Raw genomic sequence first — 26,703 nt, forward strand, 5'->3', positions numbered from 1 at the left:
AAAACTATGCTATTCAATATGGTAGCCACTAGCCACATGTGGCTATTGAGCACTTGAAATACAGGAAGTCTCAACTGATAAATACTCAGCAAGTTTCAAAGACTTAATATAAAAAGGTAGATTAGCTCATTACATGTTGATTTATGGCCTTCTGGGGCTAAAGTGGGACAGGACAGTTAGATTGGCCTATAATTCCTAAATATTCCACTCTGTGACCTGGTATTATGAAGTTATCTTATCTACTTTATCTGAGTAACATAACACATTTTTGTCCATATATACACAAGGTTAAATTTCTCACAAAGTTGAACTGACTATAAAAAAACTGTCATTATTTGTGAAGTAAAATAAATTACTTATTTGCTATTTTACTATTAACTATGTCCACAAAGCAGGTAACTGTATAATGACTATGTTACTATGTTTTTATCCAACGAAGTTAAGTGCAACTAATTTGCCTTATATATTTTTTATATAATAATGTGCTATTGGCCGGGCGCGGTGGCTCATGCCTGTAATCCCAGCACTTTGGGAGGCTGAGGCAGGCAGATCACCTGAGGTCAGGAGTTCGAGACCAGCCTGGCCAACATGGCGAAACCCCATCTCTACTAAAAATACAAAAATTAGCTGGGTGTGGTGGTGCGCGCCTGTAGTCCCAGCTACTTACTCAGAGGCTGAGGCAGAAGAATCATTTGAACCCAGGAGGCAGAGGTTGCAGTGAGCCAAGATTGCACCACTTCACTCCAGACTGGGCGACAAAGCAAGACTCTGTTTTAAAAAAAAAAACAACATGGTAGTACAGGCTGGGCACAGTGGCTCACACCTGTAATCCCAGCACTTTGGGAAGCTGAGGCAGGAGGATTGCTTGAGCCCAGGAGTTCAAGACCAGCCTGGGCAAGATGATGAGACCCCCCCCCCATGTCTACAAAAATTTAAAAAAAAAATTAGCCAGGCATGGTGGTGCACATCTATAGTCCCAGCTACTTGGGAAGCCGAGGTGGGAGGATCACTTGAGCCTGGAGTTCGAGGATGCTGTGAGCTATGCTCATGCCACTGCACTCCAGCCTGGGTGACAAAGCAAGACCCTGTCTCTATAAAAAACAAACAAACCAAAAGATAGTAGTAGTACAGTATATATGTATTTTTTTTAATTAATTTTTTTTTTTGAGACGGAGTCTCGCTCTGTCGCCAGGCTGGAGTGCAGTGGCGCGATCTCAGCTCACTGTAACCTCCACCTTCTGGATTCAAGCGATTCTCCTGCCTCAGCCTCCCAAGTAGCTGGGACTACAGGTGCGTGCCACCAAGCCCAGCTAGTTTTTTTATTTTTAGTAGAGATGGGGTGGGTCTCACCATATTGGCCAGGATGGTCTCAATCTTTTGACCTCATGATCTGCCCACCTCAGCCTCCCAAAGTGTTGGGATTACACGCATGAGCCACTGTGTCCAGCCAGTACAGTATACATTAAGTGCTTAAAATAGGCTCGGCACTAGCAATTATTATTGTATTACAGTCAGAAAACATAGTGCAGGTCAATGTTACTCTCCTATGCTGGCATCTCTGCCAATTCCCAGCCTCCAAATCTTGGAGTACCTCTGGGTCATTCCTTGAACCTCTTCTCTTCCTATGAAGGAATGTGATCACCTCTTCACTCCCTTGGTGATGGCATCCAGTTCATGTAGTTAAAATTCCATTTAGGTCCTGACTACTTTCTCATTTATATTTCCACACTGACCTCTCCCATGAGCCCTAGGCTGGTATATCCAACTGCCTCTTCAGCATCTCCATCTGGATATCTAATAGGCATCTGACAGATTGAAAACAGAACTCTTGATCCCCCCCTCCAAAAATCCACTCCTTACCAGTATTTTCCACCATTCACAGTTGTTCAGGCCAAAAATCTTAGCATCATCCTTTGCCTTGCTCTTTCCTCATTCATATCCAATTTTTCAGCAACTCCCACCTGTTCTACCTTTGAAATATATCCAGAGTCCAACTGCCTATCACCACTTCCTCCACTAGTCAAGCCACCATCACTTCTTACTGAAATAATGTGAGCCCCCTATCTGGACTCCCTGCTTCCATTCTTGCCTTTCCCACAGTCTATTTGCCACATGGCATCATCTGGAATGATTTTTTTTTTGAGACAGGGTCTCACTCTGTTGTCCAAGCTGGAGTGCATGCAGTTGCATCATCTTGGCTCACTGCAACCTCTGCTTCCCAGGCTCAAGTGATTCTCCAGGCTCAGCCTCCTGAGTAGCTGGGAATACAGGCATCAGCCACCACACCAGACTAATCTTCGTATTTTTGTAGAGATGGGGTTTTGCCATTTTGCCCAGGCTGGTCTCGAACCCCTGAGCTCAAAGCAATCCACCTGCCTCAGCCTACCAAAGTGCTGAGATTACAGGTGTGAGTCACCGCAGCCAGCCCAGAATAATGTTTTTAATGTAAAAAAAATTGAGTGTGTTTGTTCAAAACCCTCAAATGGCTTCTAGTTTCACTCAAAATAATATCCAAAATTCCTATGCCCTTACCTGATGGTAAGATCCTGTGACAGTCTTAATGGAGAGGATACTGCCATATCCTAGGAGATGTTTTGGAAATTTGTGGAGGACTATAGGATTCAGGAGACAGTATTCGACATCCTGTAATATACAGGAAAGTCCTATAAAAGTAAGAATTCTCTCTTGTCCTATATAACTTTTACATCTCTGGCAGGATATCCATGTAGGTGAAGAAACCATTTACTATTAGGTGAGTATTTAATATGCAATACAATTTCCAGGAATGCACCATTCTGTAAATTAAGGGGAAATGGTACATTATTTTTTGGAATATTACCAAAAGTTGCTCACTACTTTGGAAAATAATATTATTTTTGGCAACACCACTCTTATTATTTGCATCACCAGTATAACATACCTGAATACAGTTGACCCGTGAACAACATGGGGGTTAAGGGACAGTTGAAAATCCACATATAAGGCTGGGCATGGTGGCTAATACCTGTAATCCCAGCACTCTGGGAGGCCAAGGTGGGCTGATCATTTGAGATTAGTAGTTTGAGACTAGCCTGGCAACATGGTGAAGCCCCATCTCTACTAAAAATACAAAAATTAGCCAGGCATGGCGCATGCCTGTAATCCCAGCTACTTGGAAGGCTAAGACAGGAGAATTGCTTGAACCAGAAAGTGGAGGTTGTAATCAGCCGAGATCATGCCATTGCACTCCAGCCTGGGTGACAAGAGCAAGACTCCAACTCAATAAATAAAAAACAAAAAAAAAGAAAAGAAAAGAAAAAGAGAATCCACATAAAACTTTTGACTGCCCTGAAACTTAACTACTAATAGCCTACTGTTGACTAGAAGCCTTACCAATAATACAAACAGTTGATTAACACACATTTTGTATGGTATATATACATTACATACTGCATTCTTATAATAAAGTAAGCCAGAGAAAAGGAAATATCATTTAGAAAATGATGCCAGGGGTAGTGGTTCATGTTTGTAATCCCAGCAGTTTGGGAAGCTGAGGCGGGAGGATCACTTGACAACAAGAGTCCTAGACCAGCCTGGACAACATAGCAAAACCCTGTCTCTATTAAAAAAAAAATTTAAAACCAAGATCATCATAAGGAAAAGAAAATATATTTACCATGTATTAAATGGAAGTGGATCATCACAAAGGTCCTTGTCATCTTTACATTGAGTACGCGGAGGAAGAGAAGGGGTTGGTCTTGCTATCTCAGGAGAGGCAGAGGCAGAAAAAAATCCACATAAAAGTGGGCCCACACAGTTCAAACCCATGTTGTTTAACGGCCAACCGTATTTATAGCTGCCCCACCTATAGACATGCTGACTCCACATATAAACATCTGTTTCACCACATCCTTTACTGTAACTGAGTCTCTGTAGTTATGTGTTAAAACACTCATAATTGTATTCCACCAGCTCTAAATCCACCCTTGTAAATTCTGCTTTGTGGTCCGGGTCTGGGAGCCTGCAAACTGTTCCTTTTTTGCCAGGTAGTTCTCTGTTTGGTTCTGCCCATAGCGGGTGCTAGAGTAGAAGGCAGAAGCCGGGACTGCCTCTCCTGCTCTATGCTGTTCCCATCAGTGTTACCTCAGCAACAGCACTTTCCTCTGTGCAGTGTTGGCTCTAGTCTCTCACTTTTTTTGGCACTTCCAAAATTAGCTTTAAGGTGCCCCCTCTGAGGTACCAGTACCAGCAGGGCAGGACCTCTTCCTCAGGGATCTAAGTCCCGGCTCTGTGGGACCCTCCGCCGAGCCTCTAGTTTCTAAAAAACACAAACTTCTCTTCTTCCCTTTGTTCCCCTGGAAGTTTATGATTTCTGGACCTTGATGTCTGCCTGTCACTTTTTTTAAGCAAAAATCCCATGGAACTCTTTTTTTTTTTTTTTTTTTTTTTTTGAGATGGGGTCTCACTCTGTCACCCAGGCTGCAGTGCAGTGGCACTGCAACTTCTGCCTCCTGGGCTCAGGTGATCCTCTGCCTCAACCTCCTGAGTTGCTGGGACCACAGGTGCAAGCCACCATATCCAGCTAATTTCTTTGTGTGTGTGTGAGTGTGTAAAATAAAAATACATTTTGCCATGTTGGCCAGGCTGGTCTCAAACTCCTGACCTCAAGTGATCCACCTGCCTCGGCCTCCTAAAGTGCTGGAATTACAGGCATGAGCCACCGCGCTCAGCCCATAACACATTTCTTATATTAAATTCTCTCTGCTGAAATGACTAGTGTGGTTTCTGTTTCCTGAGTACACCCTAACCAATGTGGTACCTGGTGATAGAGTACTCCCAGGAAATAAACTCTCAAAAAATGGGATTTAGGATTGTTTGGTTATGTCTTCAACTTTGAAAGCAGTACTGAACTCTTTGTTAATTGGAAATTGGAAATTGGAATCTAATGGTCTGCAGATATGCAGGGCATATGAGGAACTAAATTATCACCTGTAGTGGTTTGTGTGAAGTTTCTACTGAAACAAGTGGCTTGAAAGACCAAGTGGCTATGGCACTTGATGGCTATGGTAGTAATAAAGACTGTAAGAATCATGGGGTGGATTCGCTGCTTCTGACTACACTAAAGAGAATACAGAAAAAAAAATAACACAATCAGGGTTAGTGTTTTTTGTTTTGTTTTGTTTTGCTTTTTGTTGTTGTTTTTTTTTAATGGAGTCTTGCAACGTTGTCCAGGCTGGCCTCAAACTCCTGTGCTCAGGGGATCCTTCCACCTCAGCCCCCTGAGTAGCTGAGATTACAGGTGTACAGCACTGCACCCAGCTTAAAACCAGGATTTTAAAGATTCATCTCAGGCTAGGCATGGTGGCTCACACCTGTAATCCCAGCACTTTTGGAGGCCGAGGCAGGTGGATCACTTGAGGTCAGGAGTTTGAGAGCAGCCTGGACAACATGGCGAAACCCCATCTCTTCTAAAAATACAAGAATTAGCCAGGTGTGGTGGCAGGTGCCTGTAATCCCAGCTGTTTGGGAGGCTGATGCAAGAAATCACTTGAACCAGGAGGTGGAGGTTGCAGTGAACCAAGATCAGGCCACTGCACTCCAGCCTGGGCAACAGGATGACACTCTGTCTCAAAAAAAAAAAGATTCATCTCAAATCACAAAGAACTACAGAGGATCCATGGTGGCCCTAAGATAATCTACTATCTTTTTTTATAGCTATAGAGTCAAACTTACTGAAAATCAGACTCAAAATTTAGTCGTCTGGGTTGCAAAATGATAACTTCAGTTGAATTCACAGACTTGTCATAAGACATGCTGTCTTATGTTATACTTATGACATTCAGAGGGAGTAGACCAGAGATTTGGAATGGGGTCCTCTTGGTGTAACTGAACAAAGTTGAAAATCTTTAACTCCCAAGTCTCTCCAAGCCTCTCTTGCAGGAAGAAACAGTCTAACCTCCTGCCGGACGCGGTGGCTCACACTTGTAATCCCGGCACTTTGGGAGGCCGAGGTGGGTAGATTATGAGGTAAAGAGATCGAGACCATCCTGGCTAACACGGTGAAACCCCGTCTCTACTAAAAAATACAAAAAATCATTTGGGCGTGATGGTGGGCACCTGCAGTCCCAGCTACTCGGGAGGCTGAGGCAGGAGAATGGCGGGAACCTGGGAGGCGGAGCTTGCAGTGAGCCGAGATCGCCCCACTGCACTCCAGCCTGGGCAACAGAGCAAGACTTGTGGGGTGGGGGGAGGGGGGAGGGATAGCATTAGGAGATATACCTAATGCTAAATGACGAGTTAATGGGTGCAGCACACCAACATGGCACATGTATACATATGTAACAAACCTGCACATTGTGCACATGTACCCTAAAACTTAAAGTATAATAAAATAAAAGAAAAAGAAAAAGAAACAGTCTACCCTCCTGTGTGTCTGAGGAGAAGAGGTTTCCTTAAAGATCCTGTATAGCTTAGGGAAGACGCCTTGCAAAGAGATGCCTATCCTTCTCAAGACCCCCCCTGACCACCCCTGAATGACTCTAGACTCATAACTGGAGTCAAATATCAGGATCCTCTAAGGAGATGAGTGTTAAGTTTAACCCAGGAAGACATAGCTTATATGCTGAAAGAATTTCCAGATTTTTCTAATATGTAGAGAGACTGGGAATTATGTAGAGAAAACCTAGGAAATATGTTAGAAATGAAGTTGACAAGTGTACTCGAAAAGGAAAGACATAAAATTAGATCATATCAAATGTACTCACATGAATGCATTTACAAGAGATTCTGGGTTTAAGGTGCGTGAACTAGCACAGCTGGAAGCGGCTCTAACACTTTGCTTGGTTGACTGATTGAACTTTGGGCTCAACGTTCTAAAAGTTGACCTGTTAGAATGTCCTTGGCATAGACATGGAGGAGTGTACCCACAGATCAGAGGAACAGAATGCGAAACTCGTTTATCATTTGCAACATGCATATCCATCCCCCATTATATCCTTCTGGAAGGCTAAGAAGGCACTCTGTTCATTTGCCATAAGAAATGCATTAATGAAGTGAGAGCAAGCATCCTTGAAAAGCTCCATGATGGTGAGATGATAGTAGGACAGGCTGCCAATGAGAGAGTGGAAACGATGGGATTCAGAAGAGATACAGGCCAAGTGGAAGCACTTAACTAACAGAAACATGGTAGAGGAAATAACTGTAATGACAGCAGAAAGTACTGGAATATAATCAAAATGTCTTAATCTAGCAGACTATGGATCATGATACATCTAGGAATGAAATAAATGGTCAGCCTACTGAAGTATCACTTGATCAATACAACAGTAAGAACTCTAGATCTGGTGGCTAGAAATCTGAGTCAAATTACATTAAAGTCTTGGCCTCTTACCAAGTTTCTAGATGTTAGGCAGCTCTTGAATCCAGGGTCTCTTGAGTGATGGGGAGGCTAGGTCCTCTTGAGGAAAGACTGTACAAAAATGTCAAAGGAATATACTATACACCTTCCTCCAAGTCATTCCCAAAGGGGCCTGTGGACATTTTTCTAAGGTTACCATACACTAGAGAAAGAACACCCCAGTCTTTTGAGAAATTCTAGACACTAGCCCTAAACTGATACCATTTCTTGAAGATCCATAATAATACTGTATTCCACCAAAGTGGTGAACTTACAATGTTCATGTAATAAATAGTATTTTGGCCTAAGTTCATCTACATGCCCATCCTATGGTGATTTCCCCAGTCTCTGGCTGTATAATTAGAATAGACATCCTTGGCAACAGGCAGAATCCCTGCAATGGTTCCTTGACTGGTGAAGTAAAGACTGTTATGGTAGGAAGGTTGACGTGGAAGCCCTTGAAACTTTTTCTTCCCATCAAAATCATAAACCAAAAGCAAAACTGCATCCCTGAAGGTAACTGCAGAGATTTATGCAAAAATTAAAGATGTGATACAGGTCTGGTGATTACTATTATATTCCCATTTATTTCACTGTCTGGCCTATACAGAAGGTAAATAGGTCTTGGAAAATGACTGTGAATAATCATATACTTAATCAAGTGGTAACTCCAACCTCAATTGTTGTTCTACTCTGTTTTCTTTATTGAAGCAAATCAACAGAGTCCCAGCACCTGGCATGTAGCTATTGCTCTGGCAAGTGCTTTTTATTCTCTATTACCAATTTGCGAGGACCACTAGAAGAAATACGGTTTTTAGGGGCATCTTATGATTTTATCTTAGGGCTATGCCAACTTTCCTGCTGTCAGCATTTTTTTTTTTTTTTTTTGAGACAGGCTAGAGTGCAGTTGCATGATCTCAACTCACTATAACCTCTGCCTCCCGGGTTCAAACGATTCTCCTGCCTCAGCCTCCCAGGTAGCTGGGTCTACAGGCATGAGCCACCATGCCTGGCTAATTTTTGTATTTTTAGTAGAGACAGGGTTTCACCGTGTTGGCCAGGCTGGTCTTGAACTCCTGACCTCAAGTGATCCACCCGCCTCAGCCTCCCAAAGTGCTGGGATTTACGGGTGTGAGCCACTTTGCCCAGCCTCCTGCTGTCAGCTTTAATCTCGTCTGCAGAAATTTCGATCATCTTGACACTCTATAGAACGTCACAATGATCTACTGCATTATGCTAATTTTACCTAATAAGCAAAGTGATGGCATTATTCTGATTGGACTTAATAAGCAGAAAGTAGCAAACACCTTAGATGTCTTATTAAGGCACACTAGAGACAGAGGGTTGAAGGAAACCTCCATGGGTATTCCAAGGCCTACGCTGAATTTCTAGGGATTCAGTGGTTTGGAACACGTCAGGATATCTCCTTCAAAATGAAATATAAGTTACTATACCTCGTATTGTGTATTACTAAAAAGAAGACACAATGATTTGAGGGCTTTCTTGAATTTTTGGAGATATTATGTGCTATTATTGTACGCCACTCCAACCCATTTTCCCAGTTGCCTATAAGGCTGTTGGTTCTGAGTAGAGAATAGAGCAAAAGAAGGTTATGGAGTAGATCCAGGATGTAATGCAGGCTGCCTTGCCCATTGGGCTTGATGACTCAACAGAGCCAGTGATGCTCAGTGTCTGTGGCATACAGGGATGTTATATGGAGTCTATGACAAACCCCAGTAGGAAGGTCCACAGGTCTCTGGAGCAAAGCCACACCCTCTTCTACTATAATGATTCCTATTTTGAGAAAAAGCTCCTGTATTACCACTAGGCCTAAATATGGGACATTAAGTAATCGTGCAACCCAAGCTGCCATCATGAACACTGGTATCTGACCCACCAAAGCATAATGTTGAATATGGATAACAGCAATCCTTCATTCAGTGGAAACAGCATATAAGAAATTAGGCTCAAGTAGGTTCAGAATGTACAAGTTGCATGAGCAAGTGACTCAATATCTTACAACACTTACTCCTGAGGTCTTGCTGCCTCTCCTTCAGTCCATGCCTATGGTCTCATGAGAGGATTCTTCTTCATCAGCTAAGAGGAAAAAAACTAAGGCCTGGTTTACAGATACTGCTTCATGACATGCTGGCACCAACCAGAAGAGGACTCCTGCAACGTTTCAACACCAAGGAGTGTCCTTAAAAAAGAAGAGAGAAATAAAATCCTCCCAGTGGGCAAAACATCAAACAGTACATTTGGTTGTTTTGCTTTTTCTGGGCCAAGAGATGGTCACAGATATGGATCTATAGTGATTCATGAAGAGTATGAAATAAGACTGGAATGTCTTCTGCCAGAAAGCAAGAAAATGCTCAAAGAAGGATGGTGACATGTGAAAAAAAAAAGCCAGCCATCCTGGAGGGACTCCCACTGGCTAAAATTTGAATATCAAATAATAACATGAAGACAAAGAAGAGGAAGAGTGCAGTGGCTCACGCCTGGAATCCCAGCACCTTGAGAGGCTGAGGCAGGCAGATCACTTGAGGTCAGGAGTTTGAGACCAGCCTGGACAATATGGTGAAACCCCATCTCTACTAAAAATACAAAAAAAAAATTAGCCAGGTGTGGTGACATGCACCTGTAATTCCAGCTACTAGGGAGGCTGAGGCAGGAGAATTGCTTGAACCTAGGAGGCAGAGTTTGCAGTGAGCTGAGATTGAGCCATTGCCCTCTAGCCTGGGTGACATAGAGAGACTCCATCTCCAAAAAAAAAAAAAAAAAATGACAAAGAAGAAAAAATAATAGTAACGGTTTATAACCCCTTGATTAAAACAAGAAACTGTAAGTCCGTAGTGATAGAATTAAATTGAAAGTTTGACAAAGGACAGGATACTTACATACATAGGAAAAGTGTAATTTAACAGTGGAGAAGTCTGGCGGTCTCCACTTTAACCAAGATATCAAATTGAAAATAGGTGGCCAGGTGTGGTGGCTCACGACTGTAATCCCAGCACTTTGGGAGGCCAATGAGGGCAGATCACTTGAGGTCAGGAGTTTGAGACCAGCCTGACCAACATGGTGAAACCCCATCTCTACTAAAAATTAAAAAAAAAAAATTTAAAAATTAGCCAGGTGTGGTGACACATACCTGTAATCCCACCTATTTGGGAGGCTGATTGAGAAGAATCGCTCAAATGCAGGAGACAGAGGTTGCAGTGAGCTGAGATCATGCCATTGCACTCCAGCCTGGGTGACAAGAGCAAAACTCCATCTCAAAAAAAGAAAGAAAGAAGGAAAGAAAATAGGTGCCACCTGATGGGATGTACAGGAAGAAAATGTTTCTCTCTGATAGGCCTTCCAGGAATGCACATCTGAATCTAATTATGAGAAAACACTGGGAACCTAAATTAAAGGCCATTTGACAAAATAACCAGCCTATAATCTTCAAGAATGTCAAGTCATGAAAGTCAAGGAAAGACCAAGAAACTGTTCCAGACTGAAGGACACTAAAGAGGCATGACAACTAAATATACCATGGGATTCTGAACTGGATCCTTTTACTATAAAGGATATTGAAACAACTGGTGAAATATGAAGTGGGGTCTGCAGATCAGATAACAGCAATTTCAACATTGATACTGATTTCAATACACAGATGCTGGTTATTGTAGTGCGTTGAATGGTGGCCCCCGAAAAGATATGTGTTCATCTTAATCTCTGAAACCTGTGACCTCATTTGAAAAAAGTATCTTTGCAGATGTAATTAACTTAAGAATCTTGAGATGAGATCATTCTGGATTATCTAGGTGAGCTGTAAATCCAGTGACAAGTGTCCTTATAAGAGACACACAGAGAAGAGAAGACGCAAGATGAGAATGCCACGTGAAGAGGGGGGCAGAAATTAGAGCGATGCAGCCACAAGCCAAGGAGTGCTTGGAGCTACCAAAAGCTGGAATGGGCAAGGAAGGATCCTCCCCTGGAGCCTTGGGGCTTAGGGGAGGCACAGCCCTGCTGACACCTTCATTTCAGATTTCTGGCCTCCAGACTATGAGAAAATAAATTTCTGTTTTTTTAAGCCATCAGGTTTGTGGTAATTTGTTATGATGGCCCCAGGAAACTAATATAATTGCATTGCGGTTACGTCAAAGAATGTTCTTGTTTGCAGGAAATACACACTAAAGTACATAGGAGTGATAGACATAATGTCAGCAGCTTACCCTCAAACAGTTCAGGTGTTTTGAACTGTATTTACACCTCTATTATAATTTTTAAATTGTTTTGAAATTTTAAAACTATTTTAAAACATTACTAGAGCAGTTGCCAGATCATGGAGGTTAGCAAGATTGCAATTTCCCAAGACCACTCCAAGCCATGCCTTGGTGATGGCCCAGACTCCAAAGGATATGGGAATCACAGAGTATAAATAAAGAGTAATAAATCAAGTGTTGGAGTTTGCCTTCCAATATGTGTCTGCAATTCTAGACTATGCAAAAATTTATTCAAGCCATCCTAAGAAACCTCCTCTCGAGGGAGATAATGTGAGACTAGTGACCCAGTGTTGCGAAGACCTATTTCTCCCCCCAAGACATTCTTTACCAGATATTACTTTTGGCAGCCAATTCTCCATGGCATTTCAACTTACCCTGGACTAGCTTTACGAGGATGTGTGTGTAGCATAGTGTCTCTTTCCAGGTCAGAGGGCCGATGTGTTTCCTGACCAGGATAGTAGAGATAGAGACACCCAGAGACATTCCAGGATAGAAAAGTTTCCTTCTCCTCAGGCAAGATGTGCTTACATTCCAGAATACTTAAAGATAATGTCTCTCTCCAGAGAGGAGGATGGGCAGGTTTGCTAGCAGCCCCCTTATAAGACTGGAGGATTCCTATGCTTAGTGTTTCTCAGTTGTGACACAAACTTGTGTATGTGGCATCTACCTGAGGTTGATCCACACTGACTCCTGTGGGACTTGAGTGCACAGGAAACTGATGGAAGCATGAAGCCTGTTTTAGTCTGTTTTGTGTTGTTACAACAGAATACCACAGACTGGGTAATTAATTAAAAAGAAATTTATTTCTCATAGTTCTGGAGGCTGGGAAGTTCAATATGAAGACAATAGCATGTGGCGAGGGCCTTCTTGCTGCATCGTCCCATGGCAGAAGGTGGGAGGGCAAGAGAGCATGAGAGTGTGAGAGAAAGGGCTGAACTCCAAATCCTTTTTTTTTTTTTTTTTTTTTGAGGCAGAGTCTAGGTCTGTCACCCAGGCTGGAGTGCAGTGGCACGATCTCAGCTCACTGCAACCTCTGCCTCCTGGGTTCAACCAATTCTCCTGTCTCAGCCTCCTGAGTAGCTGGGAAACCACAGGTGCGTGTCACCACGCCAAGATAATTTTTGCATTTTTAGTAGAGACAGGGTTTCACCGTGTTGGCCAGGCTGGTCTCGAACTCCTGGCCTCAGTGATCCGCCCGCCTCAGCCTCCCGAAGTGCTGAGATTACAGGCGTGAGCCACCGCACCTGGCCTGAACTCCCTTTTATAATAATCTCACTTTGACAATAACCTACTTCTGCAATAATGACATGAATCCATTCATGAGGACAGAGCCCTCATGACCTAATCATCTCTTATTAGGCCCCACCTCCCAACACTGTTGCACTGGGGATTAAGTTTGCAACACATGAACTTTGGGGGCACACATGCAAACCAGAGGAAAGCTCATACTTCCTGCTGTGACCCAAGTAATAAAGTTTCTAATTCCCCCTTGGACTTGTTTCCTTCCCAGCCACATCTATGGAAGTATGACAAGCAAACCTATCAGCCTCCCAACACCCTGCTGCTTAGGAACCGCCTGACTTCTTAACCATTACAAGATGGAAAAATCAAACCCCTTTATTTATTGATTAAGCCATATGCAGAACCTAGATTGTTACCTGACAGATACTGCTTAATAGCTCCAAACTACAGACTGAAGTCCTCACTTTAAAAGGGATCATTCTGAAGATCAGTTTCACAGCTAAGGGTCAGTGCTGCTAGTAGCACACCTACTACTCCTGTTATCTGTACCATAGCTCCTTAAACAGTGACAGCATCAATTCGAAAGTTCACAGTATAGATTTCACTTTCACAGTCCACACCTGTGAAGTCACTTCCTGCAACAATGGCAGTTCAAAACTGTTCTCATTAAGCCAATGGCAGTTCAAAACTGTTCTCATTAAGCCACCTAATATTGGGACCCAAAAATTCTTATCACCATCAACATAGTTTCAGGATAAAATGCAATGGATGACTCAAATCCATTTGAAAAGAAAATTCAATAAAATACAATGATAAGTACTCTACCACATGTAAAAACTATGGTCTCACCTTGATGCATTTCAGGGTAATAAAATGAAGGACGCTAGATCTCCTCAAGCTGTATCTTAGAAAACTTAAACGTAACTGCCAAAACCTATGACACTGGTTTTATAGGGTATGAGTGGAAAAAAAAAAACAGAAGGAATAATGGAAGGAAAAAATCACACTTCCCTAAATACAATTTTACCATTTTGTATAGGTCTATGTTAGTCAATATTCAATTAGAGATTCAGAACTATTAGGACCACACATGTGCAGGTGGATTTATTACCGGGATTTGACCACACGCAGTAATGGGGGCTGATAAAGTCTAGAAGGCTGTTGCCTTCATATCTAATGCTGCAGCTTGAAGTCTGCAGGGCAGGCAGTTGGGAAGAAGGCTGTCAGGGGGTGCAAAGCAGCAAGGACAAGATGGAACCCATCTCAGGCTCTCTCTGTCTCCAACCTTCATGATGTGGGTATCCTGCAGGAGAACCCGGTGCTCTTTGTCACAGAGATAAACACACATCTGGTTGAGGATACACAGTCAGATGAGGAGTCAGTGAAGCTGAGGGAAGACCCAGCGAAAGATGGAACAGCTGCAGCCTGCTTCCTGCCCCACACCAAGGAGATAAGCCAGCAGATAAAATAACAATATGCATGGGCCACAAAAGCACCTGGAGACCTTTCCCCAGCCTCTGAGCACAAAAAACAATACTCTTGATATAGTTGCTCCTCCACTCTGTCCTCCAAATCTCACACAAGTACATCTCTTGTGGCACACCCTTAACTGGAAACATAGGGAAGGGAATTATGGGAAATGTAGTTCAGCCTAATCAGATCAACACATTACAAAACCTCCACAGTCCAGCATTTGTCATCTTGGCATGTATCACTTTAAATCACAATTTCCATATGAAGACAATTCAAAATTTGGGCTTCTACTTAACAGAGTACAACTATCTTGTGTACAATTAACAACACATCAACTGTTTTTCCAAAAGAGGCTATAAAATCTCTCTCTTGGTCTTTGGGTGTTCTTTGAGCTAATTCATACTCTCCCTTTGATATTTTGTAGTTTAAATACTGAGAAGATAGGGAAATAAGAGTGGGAAGAAAACAAGTTTTTGAAAAAAATACAATGACAACTACTCTACCACATGTAAAAACTATGGTCTAGCTTTGATGCATTTCAGGGTAATGAAATGGAGCATTCTAGATCATTGCAAGTTTCTACATACAAACAGGCCAAGCATGGTGGCTCATGTCTGTAATATCAGCACTTTAGGCAGCTGAGGTGGGAGGATCACTTGAGCCCAAGAGTTCAGAACCAGCCAGGGCAACATAGTGAGATACCATCTCTACAAAAAATTAAAAATTAAAAAAAGTATATATACAAACATATCCATATCAAAATAAGGAAGAAATACAACTGCACTAGCTCTCATTTCTACAACTGGTCATGTGGTCATATGGTCATAGCTAGTATATACCACCTTCCTTTTTTTTTTAATTCTTTTTTTTTTTTTTTTGAGATGGAGTTTCACTCTTGTTGTCCAGGTTGGAGTGCAATGGCACAATCTTGGCTCACCGCAACCTCTGCCTCCCAGGTTCAAGCGATTCTCCTGCCTCAGCCTCCCGAGTAGCTGGGATTACAGGCATGCACCACCATGCCCGGCTAATTTTGTATTTTTGGTAGAGACGGGGTTTCTTCATGTTGGTGAGGCTGGTCTCGAACTCCCAACCTCAGGTGATCTGCCCGCCTCAGCCTCCCAAAGTGCTGGGATTACAGGCGTGAACCACCGTGCCTGGTCCATATACACCATCTTCTATCACTCATTCCACATCCCTTTGCCCTCAGCGAGCACTCAGCAGGCTGTGATTCCTTGGACCCAAACCATTAGGAGAAAAGCTTGAATTGCATTGTTATCATAAAAGGGACACACATACATAAGAATAAACAGGTCAATCCACCAGGAAGAGACCAAAAGTCAAAATCTGAACATACACATAACATAGCTTCAAAATATTAACATATAAAGCAAAAATCAGCATAACTAAAAGTAGAAAAAGTCACAATAGTGGCTCCACCAGAGTGGGAGCCAATCACACGTCTCAAAAGCTGATAGAACAGGCAGACGAATAATCATTAAGGATACAGAAGATCAGAACCACAATATTAATAAACTTGACTCTGAGAACTTTGCCTCCGACAATGACAAAATACATACCATATGATCCCATTTATATAAAGTTCAAAACAAGGCTGGGCGTGGTGGCTCACACCTTCAATCCCTGCACTTTGGGAGGCTGAGGCAGGCGGACTACTTGAGGCCAGGAGTTCGAGACCAGCCTGGCCAACATGGCGAAACCCCGTCTCTACTAAAAATACGAAAATTAGCCGGGCGTGGTGGTGCATGCCTTTAAACCCAGCTACTGGGGAGGCCGAGGCATGAGAATTGCTTGAACCTGGGAGGCAGAGGTCACAGTGAGCTGAGATCGTGCTACTATACTTCAGCCTAGGCAACAGACTGAGACTCTGTCTTGAAAAATAATAATAATAATAATAATAATAATAATGAGATATAACAGATGAGGCAAATTAATCTATGGTGTTAGAAGTCAGAATATCCAGGTGAGATGTGGCACAAAAAGAGAAAAAATAATAAAATCAAAAAATAAAAAATAGGGCTGGGCACAATGGCTCACACCTGTAATCCCAACACTTTCGGAGGCTGAGGTGGGCGGGTCACCTGAGGTCAGGAGTTGGAGACCAGCCTGGCCAACATGATGAAACCCCATCTCTACTAAAAATACAAAAATAAAAATAAAAAATAAAGAAGTCAGAATAGTGGTAACCCATGGCAAGCGTAATTGACCAGGAAGGGGCACAAAGAGGCTTCTAAGGTTGTGGTATCCTCTCTTTCTTGATCTGGGTGCTGAGTGCCCAGGTGGTTCACTTTGTAAAAATTCATAAAGCTGTACATATATGAATCTGTGTATTTTGTTACACTTCCATTGATATTTTTACATTAAGAAAAGGGGACTTTTGGATAGCATTGAGAATAAACTGCTCTACATGATCTGACATGGCTTACTCTCTACCCGTATATTCAACTAATTTTTCTCCTCAATCACTTATCTACTCCAGCCACACTGGCCTTCCTAAGACATGTCAAACTCTTTCCTATCTCAAGACACTTGCACTCACTCTTCTTCTGTCAGAAATGCTCATCTCTTTCCTATTCACACAGCTAATGTCCTAGCTTCATTCAGATAGCACCTCTTCAGAGAAGACTTACCTGTCCACCTAATTTAAAATAACACTTCCCCAAATCATCTTCTATCCCCTTATTCTATTCTCTTCATAGCATTTATCACTACATGCAATTTTGTGTTTGTTATTGATTTTTCCCACTAGGATATAACTTCCATTTGTGTGGGCAGGTGTATGTTTCGCTCAATTAATTTTGTTAAAAAAATGAATGTGTTTTTAGAATTTCCTTAGGTTTCCTTTGTGGCTTGATACATAATCAAACTTTGTAAATATTCCCTGTATGCTTGAAAATGTGATTTCTTTGATGTGTATAAATTTCTCCATAATGTCTACTTTGAGTTTATTACTCATGTTATTCAAGTAACCCACATTTTTGCTTTTTTCCTGAGTTTGATCTGTCTGATTATATGAGGGGTGAATTAAAAACTCTAAAAATAATAGTTTATTCATCTATTTCCCTCTGCAGTTCTGTCAGTTATTGCTTTATAAATTTTGCATTTATATTAGTAAACATGTTTATGACCATAAACATTACGTCTTCTTGATCTATTATTATTTTACTAGTATGCTATATCTGTCTTTATCCCTTGTGATGTTTTACATCTTCAACTCTATTTTGTCTGATGTAATTGTTATTCTAGTTTTTCTTTGATTATAGTTCTCTGTATATCTTTTTTGATTTATTGATTTCAGCCTTTCTCTTCCCTTTTAAATGTGTCTCTTCTAGAAAATGTCATTTTAAAAATCTAATGTATGTATCTCTGCCTTTTAATTGATGAGTTAAGCTCATTTACATTTATTATATTAGAAAGACCTATTTTGTGTTTATTTTCCAGGCTTCTTTTTTTAGAAATAGAGATGGGGCCTCACTATGTTGCCCAGACTGGTCTTGAACTCCTGGGCTCAAGCGATCCTCCTGCCTCGGCCTCCAAAGTGCTGGGATTACAGGTGTGAGCCACCATGCCTAGCATCAGGCTTCTTTTTCTAGTATCTTTTTTATCTTCTTTATTATAGTACATTGGATTGAGTAAAAATTTTTGTACTAAATTTGAAAGTTATACTATGTATTTTTTATTTTTCTGGTGGTTACATAGAATTAAACATTTCATCTCCCAGCTTTCTTTTTTAACCATGATGTATGATTACATAAGTTCTGACCAATGAAATGTAAGCAGAAGTGTAGAACTTTCAGAATGGATTTGTTCAAAGGAAGAAGGTAATTCCTCCTTTGTCTCCTTCCTCCTACTACTGCCCTAAAAGTGGTAACTAGAGCTCTAGCACCTACATGGGACCATGAAGTGATCCTGAGTGTGACAGCACTGGACGGTGGTGCAGAAAGCTAAGAGTGTGGCTCTGTGATGATCTCATGGATTTGTCACACTATAGTCATGACTACTTACAAGGCAAACTTCTTTTATTTGAAAAAGAAACTTCCTTAAGCCACTGTTATTTGGGATTTTTCTGATATGCAGCACTGCTCATTTCCAGGAGATGCTTCCTTTATTGTAATTTCCTAGCCTGTGGTGGGGGCAGGGGGCAGTGCTGGTGTATCTTCCTTAGCCTATATCCAATTTGTGGCACTCAGCCTTTCCCTCTAAGTTTCTCCCACTCCAACTCCCATACATAGTGGGTTTTCTCAAAATTGGAGCCTAAGACAAAGACTCAACTGTAGGAAGTTCACTGCAGATCACAGAGTGAGGAAGTAAGGAGAATGAGAGCAAAGGAGAAAAAGCGTACGAGGTCACCATTGTGGTCAGTGGGTACTGATCCCACAGGACCTCCTGAAGAGTATTCCGGACACTTTCTAGATTTGCTTCCCACAATTGCCCACCAGGAAGACAGGGCACTGCAGTGTTTATCCATCAGATTCCATCCCCTATTGGCTAAGAATTGCCCCTACAGGATGTGCATGGTAGCTCACACCTGTAATCCCAGCATTTTCGGAGGCTGAGGCAGGTGGATCACAAAGTCAGGAGTTCGAGATTAGTCTGGCCAATATGGTGAAACCCTGTCTCTATCGAAAATACAAAAATTAGCCGGGCATGGTGGCACACACTTGTAATCCCAGATACTTGGGAGGCTGAGGCAGGAGAATCGCTTGAACCCGGGAGGCGGAGGTTGCAGTGAGTAGAGATTACACTACTGCACTCCAGCCTGGGTGACAGAGTGACACTCTATCTCAAAAAAAAAAAAAAAAAGAAAAAAGAAAAAAGAATTGCCCCTGCAGTGCTAACTCCATTGTGCTTTTGGAAAGAGCAGGCTTGTCTATACAGAGAATTTCCAGTGGCAAAAATTCTACAAAGGGATCATGGGATTAAGGTGAGACACTGTCACCATGAGGTGGGTCTGAACATGCACAGAACACACCAAGAAAATATGACACTGAACACCAGGGTTGTCACGGTTTTTATGAAAGGTTCTGAGATCCACCAGCTTCCCTTTTGTTTCTGTGGCAACTGCAGAACTGAGCTAATTTATCATCATACCTTGAACCAGCCTCTCAATTTTTGAAACTCACTTCTCCCTGAACTTCTTTACTATATGTTTTCCTATCTCTGACTGCTGTTTCTAAATGAGCTCTTCTTTCATTTCCTACTCTTTAAATGCAGGGAGTCCTCAAGTTTGCATCCATTCTGTCTTTTTCCTTCAACCACACCATCTCACTAAACTTACCTCATTTTTTTCTTATATCTCCATTACCATGTTTAAGAAATGATCCTCCAGCCGGGCGCGGTGGCTCACGCCTGTAATCCCAGCACTTTGGGAGGCTGAAGCAGGCGGATCATGAGGTCAGGAGGTCGAAACCATCCTGGCTAATACGGTAAAACCCTGTCTCTACTAAAAATACAAAAAATTAGCCGGGCAGGGTGGCGGGCGCCTGTAGTCCCAGCTACTCGGGAGGCTGGGGCAGGAGAATCGCTTGAACCTGGGAGGCAGAGGTTGCAGTGAGCCGGGATCGCGCCACTGCACTCCAGCCTGGGCGACACAGTGAGACTCCATCTCAAAAAAAAAAAAAGAAAGAAAGAAATGATCCTCCAATCTTTATTATCAGCCCAGATCTCTCTCTTTACTTCCTAATTCAAACTCATCACCCAATACTCTATGTCTCCACATAGATGTAATTGTATAGATAATCAAATTCTAACATATTAAAAAATCCATCTCATCACCTTTCTACATCTCCATGGTCCCTATTCCAATTAATGGCATCTTCAACTAACTTCTTCCAAGCTAGAAACTCCAGCAACATCTTTCACTTCACCAAATCACTCCTTTTATCACTTGGAAAATTTGGTTGATCACATCTCATCTATCAAGACTACCATCTCCTTCCTATTTCTACAGGGATGAACCCTTATAATCCTTGTCTAAACTTACACAAAAGCATCAGAAATGGTTTCCTGCTCCTAGTTTCTCCCCTTGACAAACAAACTTTGTGTTACACCAGCATAGGGTTTAGTTAAGAGGTTTTACAAGGTGTGTTATGAAAGCTTCTGTCCTTCCTCCCAAACTCTCAATCTCCTGTTCCACAGAGGCAACCTCTTTCAAGACTTTTGAAAATATTTTGGGAAAAAATTGTATCTGTACTGAACATGTACAGGTTTTTTCTTGTCATTATTCCCTAAACAATAAAGTATATCAATTATTTACATAGCATTTGTTGTATTAGGTATTATAGAAACCTAGAGACAATTTAAAGTATATTGGAGATTGATGCCTAGGTTATATGCAAATACCACACCATTTTACATTAGGGACTTGAGCATCCTCAGGCTTTGGTACCCTTGGGAGGTCCTGGAACAAAGCCTCCATGGAGGATACCAAGGGATGACTTTTGATTCCTGGCTTTCTTCATTGTTGGCTTAGGATTCAGCTTTCTTAGGTCGGCCACATCAGAGTTAACCCATCTTATGGCTACTTTCTAATTCTGAAAATGCTATTGCTGTTCTCTCCTAACTTATCCTTTTGGGCATATGCTTTGGAAAATCTCTTTACTGTCATTTTAGCGGGATTTGAGGAGGGAATGTTGCTAACAATTGATGTGTTCAACTCACAAATTCCAGAAGTCTGCCAAAATTTGGAAGCAGGTATCATCTAACTCTATTTCTCTTTCTTTTTTAAACTTTTATTTTAGGTTCAGGGAGACATGCGCAGGTTTGTTATATAGGTAAAACTCATGTCATCGGTGTTTATTGTACAGAGTAAACAGACAACCTACAGAATGGGAGAAAATATTTGCAAACTATGCATCTAACAAAGGTCTAATATCCCAGGATCTATAAGGAATTTAAACACATTTATAAGAAAAAAACACAAACAACCCCATTAAAAAGTGCACAAAGGACATGAACAGACATTTTTTAAAAGAAAACATATATGTGGCCAACAAGCATATGAAAAAAAGCTCAATATCACTGATTAGAGAAATGCAAATAAAAACCACAATGAGATATCATCTCACACCAGTCAGAATGACTATTATTAAAAAGTTAAAAAAAGATTTATTTTTATCTCTTTTCTCAACACCATCCCAACTGGGTTCCAATTTTCTAGATTTTTCTGTGTCTTCACTAATTAAACTTCATTTTAGAAAAGGATTTAACAAATTCATTCCCCCTGAAGTCTAATGAATGACAGAGTTTGATGTGTTACATCTCCCAAGAGTATTTTCATTTTAACAAGGACTAAGTTTCTTATTTGGCTTAAGCCAAAGGGATAAAGGCATTAAGTTCTAACTGAGAAATTTCAGGTACCCACACCTAAGTGGTTTGGAGGCTAGGGGAAGGTTTTCTTGTGTTTTCTCAAATCACAGGCTTTGGGGCAGGTCCGACTGTGCCCATGTATTGAGCTAATTGATGATGTCAGAGTCACAGCAGGCATTCTAGGATGACAATCAGAAATAGGAATATCTGCTCAGTTACAATTCTAGTCCAACTTGTGTGTCTTGAAACCTAGACAGCAGGTAGATGAATCACCATCCTAAATATTGATATTAATCTAGAGCAAAACATATATTTTATTGTGTTTATAATAAGTACACAAAGATAGACATCATCAAATACACACAACTCTAACTAAGACCTCCTCATACAATTAGTGGTTGTAAGGCATTTTGGAACTACAAAATGCCATATAAATGCATGATAATTAGATCATGAAACTAATTATGGTTAATAATATGACTAACCATCTTAAACTGTGTATGAATATAATAACAATAAGCATACATACATGCTCTCAGTTGAAGCAGACACGGCCAGAATTTGGTAAGGGGCACAAAACAACAGAGGATGCCTCCAGCATTCTGGGGGTAGTACGTAGAAAATTAAGGTCGTATTTATCTGCCAAGGAGCACCGCAGGGATATAAACCACAAAAACAGGAGGGAAAAGAAGCCCAGTTAAGATCTCCTCCTTAATTCCTGATTTCTGGCCCTATTATTTTGCTAAATACCACTACCACAACTCAGAACAAGTATAAGTGTCTGTGCATCTCTTACTAGGGACTGGGCACTGTTAAAGTGTTTTACATATATTAATTAATTCCCACAACAACCTCAAGAGGTAGGTACTGTTCTCCCCTTTTGACATATAAGCAAATTAAAACACAAAGAAGTTAAATAACTTTCCACTGTGGGTGGCAGAGCTGGGACTTAGGCTACCCAGCCCCAGAGCCTGGCCAGTTACCACCACTCCATATGACAGCCACCTTTTCTCTGTTCCATGAATCAATTACAGATATATATACGTGTGTGTGTGTATACATGTATATATACGTATGTGTATATATACGTTTGTGTATGTATAAACGTATGTGTGTGTATACATGTATGTGTGTGTGTGTGTGTGTGTGTGTGTGTGTGTGTGTGTATTTTTTTTTTTTTTTTTGAGATGGAGTTTTGCTCTTGTTGTCCAGGCTGGAGCGCAATGGCGCAACCTTGGCTCACTGCAACTTCCGCCTCCCGAGTTCAAGGATTCTCCTGCCTCAGCCTCCCAAGTAGCTGGGATTACAAGCATGTAATCCCATTACACCACCACGTTCGGCTAATTTTTTTTTTTTTTTTTTTTTTGTATTTTTAATAGAGACGGAGTTTCACCATGTTGGCCAGGCTGGTCTCGAACTCCTGGCCTCAAGTGATCCTCCCGCCTTTGCCTCCCAGAGTGCTGAGATTACAGGCGTGAGCCACCGCGCCTGGGCCAGATACGTATTTTCAGCACTGGTTGTGCAAAACTCACTCCCCACCTCATCTTAAGAACTTAATGAACCTTTTGGTAAAACGCCAATACCAGCATAAAACAAATTTCTTCAGGATACAAATATTTTCATAATTTGTATTAACTCAACCTAAACTTTACCAGCCTGAACTGCTTCTTCAAGGCTTGACTAATACACTGTTAGGGAGTATTTTAAGCAGCCTCCACCCAAGTGCTTACCTTGTAGCTCTATTTATCTGCCTTAGGCATTTACTGGACTCCTTTCAGATTCTTTCCCTCGCTAATGTTTTCCGGTATCATCTGATAACTGAATAGAAAATGCTGTTCTGAATCACTACACCTCACTATCAACCATATCACAAATAAATTATGTTATATATTATATATAAATATTATAATGGGCTATTTAAACTAAGCCAGCCGTCTTACCATGTGCTCATGTGGGATTTCCTGTTTCAATGTTGAATAATAATATATTTTAAAGTTAGCAAAGCCATTTCACCTGCAGTCGTTGATTTCTTCAAAATCTGAGCATTTAAATCCATTGCCAATGTTTGCTTAAAGAACACTGTTTTCTTAACGAGTCTTCCAAATCGGTCCTTACAGGAAGAACCTCTGAATGCTATACGCATATATGGACGGCTGCGTGTCCCTACAAAGTCAGCCTGTTACTTCCACTGGAGAAACAAAACTCTTGAGAATCGCTGAGCTGTAAAAATGTTAGAAAGCCGGTGTCCCAGGCGCCCTGAGAAAGCCGGGAGAGGGCGGTGGCTGCCCACAGGCCGCCTCCAGCCCCGCGCGAGGCCGAGGCCTCAGCGCGCCCCCCGCCCCCGCGGCGCCTAGCGGCCCCGCCGCAGGGCAGGCCTGGCCGGGCCTCCCCGGGCTGCGGCGGCGCCCCCTGCAGGCCGCGGCGGGCAGAGCGGGGGGAAGGAACCCGAGCCGGGCTGCCACCGTGTCCCAACCGGTGCCGCCGCCGGAGCTTCTCCGGGCCCCGAGTCCTCGCCGAACGCCCTCCTCGCCGCCCGCCGCGTCCCGGCGCCCTCCGGAGCCGCCGAGCCGCCCGCGCACACCTGAAGCGGCCGGGCCAGGCCCTGCCTCGATCCTCAGCTCGTCCTCCCCGCCCCGCACCGGCCTTCACTCTGGAGCGGCCCCGGCAGCCGCAGCAGGGGCGGCGGCGGCGGATCGAGGAGCTCTCCAGGTCGTCCCGGGAGAGGCTGCTGCAGTCCCGGGACAGGATGTTCTCCAAGTTCACCTCCATCCTGCAGCACGCCGTGGAGGCGGTAAGGCCGCGGGCTGCGGGCGCACGGCAGGCCGGGGATGGCGGCGGCCTACGCTCCCCGGCGGCCTCGGGGACAAGCCGGGCGGCCTTGGCCCGGCCCTCGGCGGCCCTGTCCCCGGTTGGGGTGAGGCCCCAGGCGGGCGCCCTGGGCGGCCGCCGGGTCGTGGGGGCGCCCGGGGCCTCGGGCCTGGCTCTGCGGGGGTCCCGTCGGTCCCTGGCTGCCCCAGGCCGGCAGTCCCTGCCCTCCTCCAGGAGCCGGGGCGGGGGTGCCGGGGAGGACCTGGCCGCCCAACGCCGCTCGGTGGTCGCCTCATTCCTCTGATGGGGCCGGGGGTTCGGGGAGCACCTGGCGGGGTCGCAGAGAGCTCCCCCGGGCTCCCTTAACGTTAACCTTCTCCGGAAAAAAAGTGGTCAGCGTTGAGCAAGACAAAAGAAACGAGCAAGCACCGCTTGGGCTTGGTTCTGTTTTGTTTTGGTTTTCGGGGGTAGAGGTGGGAGAGGCATGGTCTCGCTGTGGGGCGTCCCTGGCGAGGGAGCCGCCGACCAGCCCCCGGGTTGCTGGCTTTTGCTTTCTTGGGCCTGGAGGCCGAACTCAGCTGAACCTTATGTATTGATCTGAAATAGGAGTTTGGAGGGTCCAGTCGAGTTTGCTTTCGACAGCTTCCAAGCTCACCGAGCCCAGAGACCATCTGTTTCCTTTCTTGTCTAGTTCTCTTCCTGGACACTCTTCGTTTATCCTGCAATTGTACTCTCCTTTGAGGGTTTTAGACACCAGCATAGAGACAGTATTCAAGTATCCTAGTAGACTAATAAGTGAAAAGAAACTAAAAAGAAAATGCCTTGTCACTGTTCTAGTAAGAATGCTAGTTGCTTCACTTGTTTACTTTATTCTGGGAGAACTGCCCAAATTGAAAAATGCATTCTGTGCAGAAACAATTACTTTGCTAATTTTTAACATGACATTCTCTTCCTATGTTCATATTATGTGATAGGACACTTTAAAATGTACACTTTAAAAATGTCAGATACAACAATGATTTTTTATGGGCAGGCAAAAATGGAGTTTTTGCCTTCAGTAATAAAAACAAACTTTAGTACAATTGTTATTTAAGTGATACATGAGAAGCGTTAAAAAATTTAGCTCTAGGGCAAGCTCTTGGGAAAATGTATCAAACAGGAAAAACAGGGTTTCATAAATGTAGAGCAGTATTACACGGAGGGAAATGACAGTGGTAGACTTCAAGACAACTTTTAGTTTTTACTTGCTTATACACACTCTACTTTTGTTGAAAGAATTTAACTGCAGTTTATTAAAACATTTAAATTTTGTTTTCTTTAAAAATACCAAGAATCATTTAATTTTATTTATTTATTTATTTATTTATTTTTTGAGACCGAATCTCATTCTGTCACCCAGGTTGGAGTGCAGGGGTGTGATCTCAGGTCACTGCAACCTCCGCCTCCCGGATTCAAGCGATTCTCCTGCCTCAGCCTCCCTAGTAGCTGGGATTACAGGCACCCGCCACCACACACGGCTAATTTTTTTTTTTTTTTTTAGTAGAGATGGGGTTTCACCATGTTAGCCAGGCTGCTCTCGAACTCCTGACCTCAAGTGATCGCCCGCCTTGGCCTCCCAAAGTGCTGGGATTACAGGTGTGAGCCACCACACCCGGCCCGAATCATTTTAACCTTGAATATATGAAATACTTGGGAACACTTAATGAGATACTTGGTAATCAAAATTTACTATATTGCAGTCAGCTGTCTTATCCGTAGGCTCTGCACCTGTGATTTAACCAAACTCAAGTAAAAAAATATTTGAGGGGGAAAAAAATTCTGCAGAGTTCCAAAAAGCAAAACTTGAATTTGCCATATTCAAGTACTGCCTTGAATCCATGTGAATGAAGTGATGTGTAGGCATTGTATTAGGTATTAGAAGCAATCTAGAGATGATTTAAAGAATACAGGTATGCATAGGTTATATGAAAATATGCCATTTTATAACAGGGACTTGAACATCCTCAGATCTTAGGGGTAGGAAGAGATGTCCTGGAACTAGTCCCCTACAGATACCAACTATATTTATATCCTTTACCCATCAGGCTAGTATTTACAGAAATAAGTACTTAGAAAAAGAAAGACGGCTTTCCTGCTCTCCTAGTAAAGGCTCATTTTTATCCGGAGGCCTGTGTTTTCTTGTCCTCGTTATCTTTTTATAATTGTATATAT

The 26,703-nt window shown here is 42.6% G+C and overlaps 3 protein-coding genes and 1 pseudogene across 21 annotated transcripts in view, besides 7 other annotated features; 2 read left to right on the plus strand and 2 right to left on the minus strand.

Moving 5' to 3' along the window:
• Window positions 1-3,725, minus strand: part of ABLIM1 (actin binding LIM protein 1) — a 370,264-nt gene extending 366,539 nt beyond the window's left edge. For all 15 annotated transcript variants that reach the window (XM_047425242.1, XM_047425238.1, XM_047425237.1 and 12 more), the window contains exons 1-2: window positions 3,656-3,725; window positions 2,533-2,643 (exon numbers count right to left, since the gene is read on the minus strand). In XM_047425242.1, the coding sequence (XP_047281198.1) occupies window positions 2,533-2,643; window positions 3,656-3,658 (114 nt within the window). In that variant the 5' untranslated portion in view covers window positions 3,659-3,725. The remainder of the gene's footprint in view (window positions 1-2,532; window positions 2,644-3,655) is intronic.
• LOC124902508 (translation initiation factor IF-2-like) lies at window positions 732-25,300 on the minus strand. Of its 4 annotated transcripts, none has more exons than XM_047426127.1 (2): window positions 23,625-25,300; window positions 732-768 (listed from the first exon to the last, which is right to left on the minus strand). In XM_047426127.1, the coding sequence occupies exon 1, from the start codon at window positions 24,451-24,453 to the stop codon at window positions 23,848-23,850; it is 606 nt and encodes a 201-aa protein (XP_047282083.1). In that variant the 5' UTR covers window positions 24,454-25,300; the 3' UTR covers window positions 732-768; window positions 23,625-23,847. The 4 variants fall into 4 exon arrangements, with proteins under 4 accessions (XP_047282083.1, XP_047282081.1, XP_047282082.1 ...); XM_047426125.1 differs by lacking the exon at window positions 732-768 and adding an exon at window positions 2,653-2,795; XM_047426126.1 differs by lacking the exon at window positions 732-768 and adding an exon at window positions 8,470-9,575.
• Window positions 3,946-4,145: an enhancer, noted in NCBI's record as "active region_4089". NCBI's record gives its function as "activates an Ori minimal core promoter by ATAC-STARR-seq in GM12878 lymphoblastoid cells {active_cell/tissue: GM12878}" and the evidence as "EXISTENCE:reporter gene assay evidence [ECO:0000049][PMID:35858748]".
• Window positions 4,166-4,255: an enhancer, noted in NCBI's record as "active region_4090". NCBI's record gives its function as "activates an Ori minimal core promoter by ATAC-STARR-seq in GM12878 lymphoblastoid cells {active_cell/tissue: GM12878}" and the evidence as "EXISTENCE:reporter gene assay evidence [ECO:0000049][PMID:35858748]".
• Window positions 11,725-13,649, plus strand: TAF9BP2 (TATA-box binding protein associated factor 9b pseudogene 2; annotated as a pseudogene).
• Window positions 13,579-13,628: an enhancer, noted in NCBI's record as "active region_4091". NCBI's record gives its function as "activates an Ori minimal core promoter by ATAC-STARR-seq in GM12878 lymphoblastoid cells {active_cell/tissue: GM12878}" and the evidence as "EXISTENCE:reporter gene assay evidence [ECO:0000049][PMID:35858748]".
• Window positions 23,881-24,190: a silencer, noted in NCBI's record as "silent region_2846". NCBI's record gives its function as "represses an Ori minimal core promoter by ATAC-STARR-seq in GM12878 lymphoblastoid cells {active_cell/tissue: GM12878}" and the evidence as "EXISTENCE:reporter gene assay evidence [ECO:0000049][PMID:35858748]".
• The window catches only part of FHIP2A (FHF complex subunit HOOK interacting protein 2A), a 78,053-nt gene continuing 75,481 nt past the window's right edge, over window positions 24,132-26,703 (plus strand). For both annotated transcript variants that reach the window (NM_001135051.2, NM_020940.4), the window contains exon 1: window positions 24,132-24,475. In NM_001135051.2, coding sequence (NP_001128523.1) covers window positions 24,431-24,475 — 45 coding nt within the window. In that variant the 5' untranslated portion in view covers window positions 24,132-24,430. The remainder of the gene's footprint in view (window positions 24,476-26,703) is intronic.
• Window positions 24,201-24,550: a silencer, noted in NCBI's record as "silent region_2847". NCBI's record gives its function as "represses an Ori minimal core promoter by ATAC-STARR-seq in GM12878 lymphoblastoid cells {active_cell/tissue: GM12878}" and the evidence as "EXISTENCE:reporter gene assay evidence [ECO:0000049][PMID:35858748]".
• Window positions 24,536-25,036: an enhancer, noted in NCBI's record as "H3K27ac hESC enhancer chr10:116581943-116582443 (GRCh37/hg19 assembly coordinates)". NCBI's record gives its function as "activates a minimal SCP1, AML or CMV promoter by ChIP-STARR-seq in primed H9 embryonic stem cells {active_cell/tissue: H9 hESC(primed)}" and the evidence as "EXISTENCE:reporter gene assay evidence [ECO:0000049][PMID:30033119]".
• Window positions 24,611-24,830: a silencer, noted in NCBI's record as "silent region_2848". NCBI's record gives its function as "represses an Ori minimal core promoter by ATAC-STARR-seq in GM12878 lymphoblastoid cells {active_cell/tissue: GM12878}" and the evidence as "EXISTENCE:reporter gene assay evidence [ECO:0000049][PMID:35858748]".

This window comes from Homo sapiens, chromosome 10 (genome assembly GCF_000001405.40).
Source record: "Homo sapiens chromosome 10, GRCh38.p14 Primary Assembly".
In the NCBI taxonomy this organism is placed as follows: Eukaryota; Metazoa; Chordata; class Mammalia; order Primates; family Hominidae; genus Homo; species Homo sapiens.

Excerpts from the sequence above, each read along its gene's own strand:
- LOC124902508 (XM_047426127.1), bottom strand. The coding sequence starts at position 24,453 with ATGGAGGTGAACTTGGAGAACATCCTGTCCCGGGACTGCAGCAGCCTC.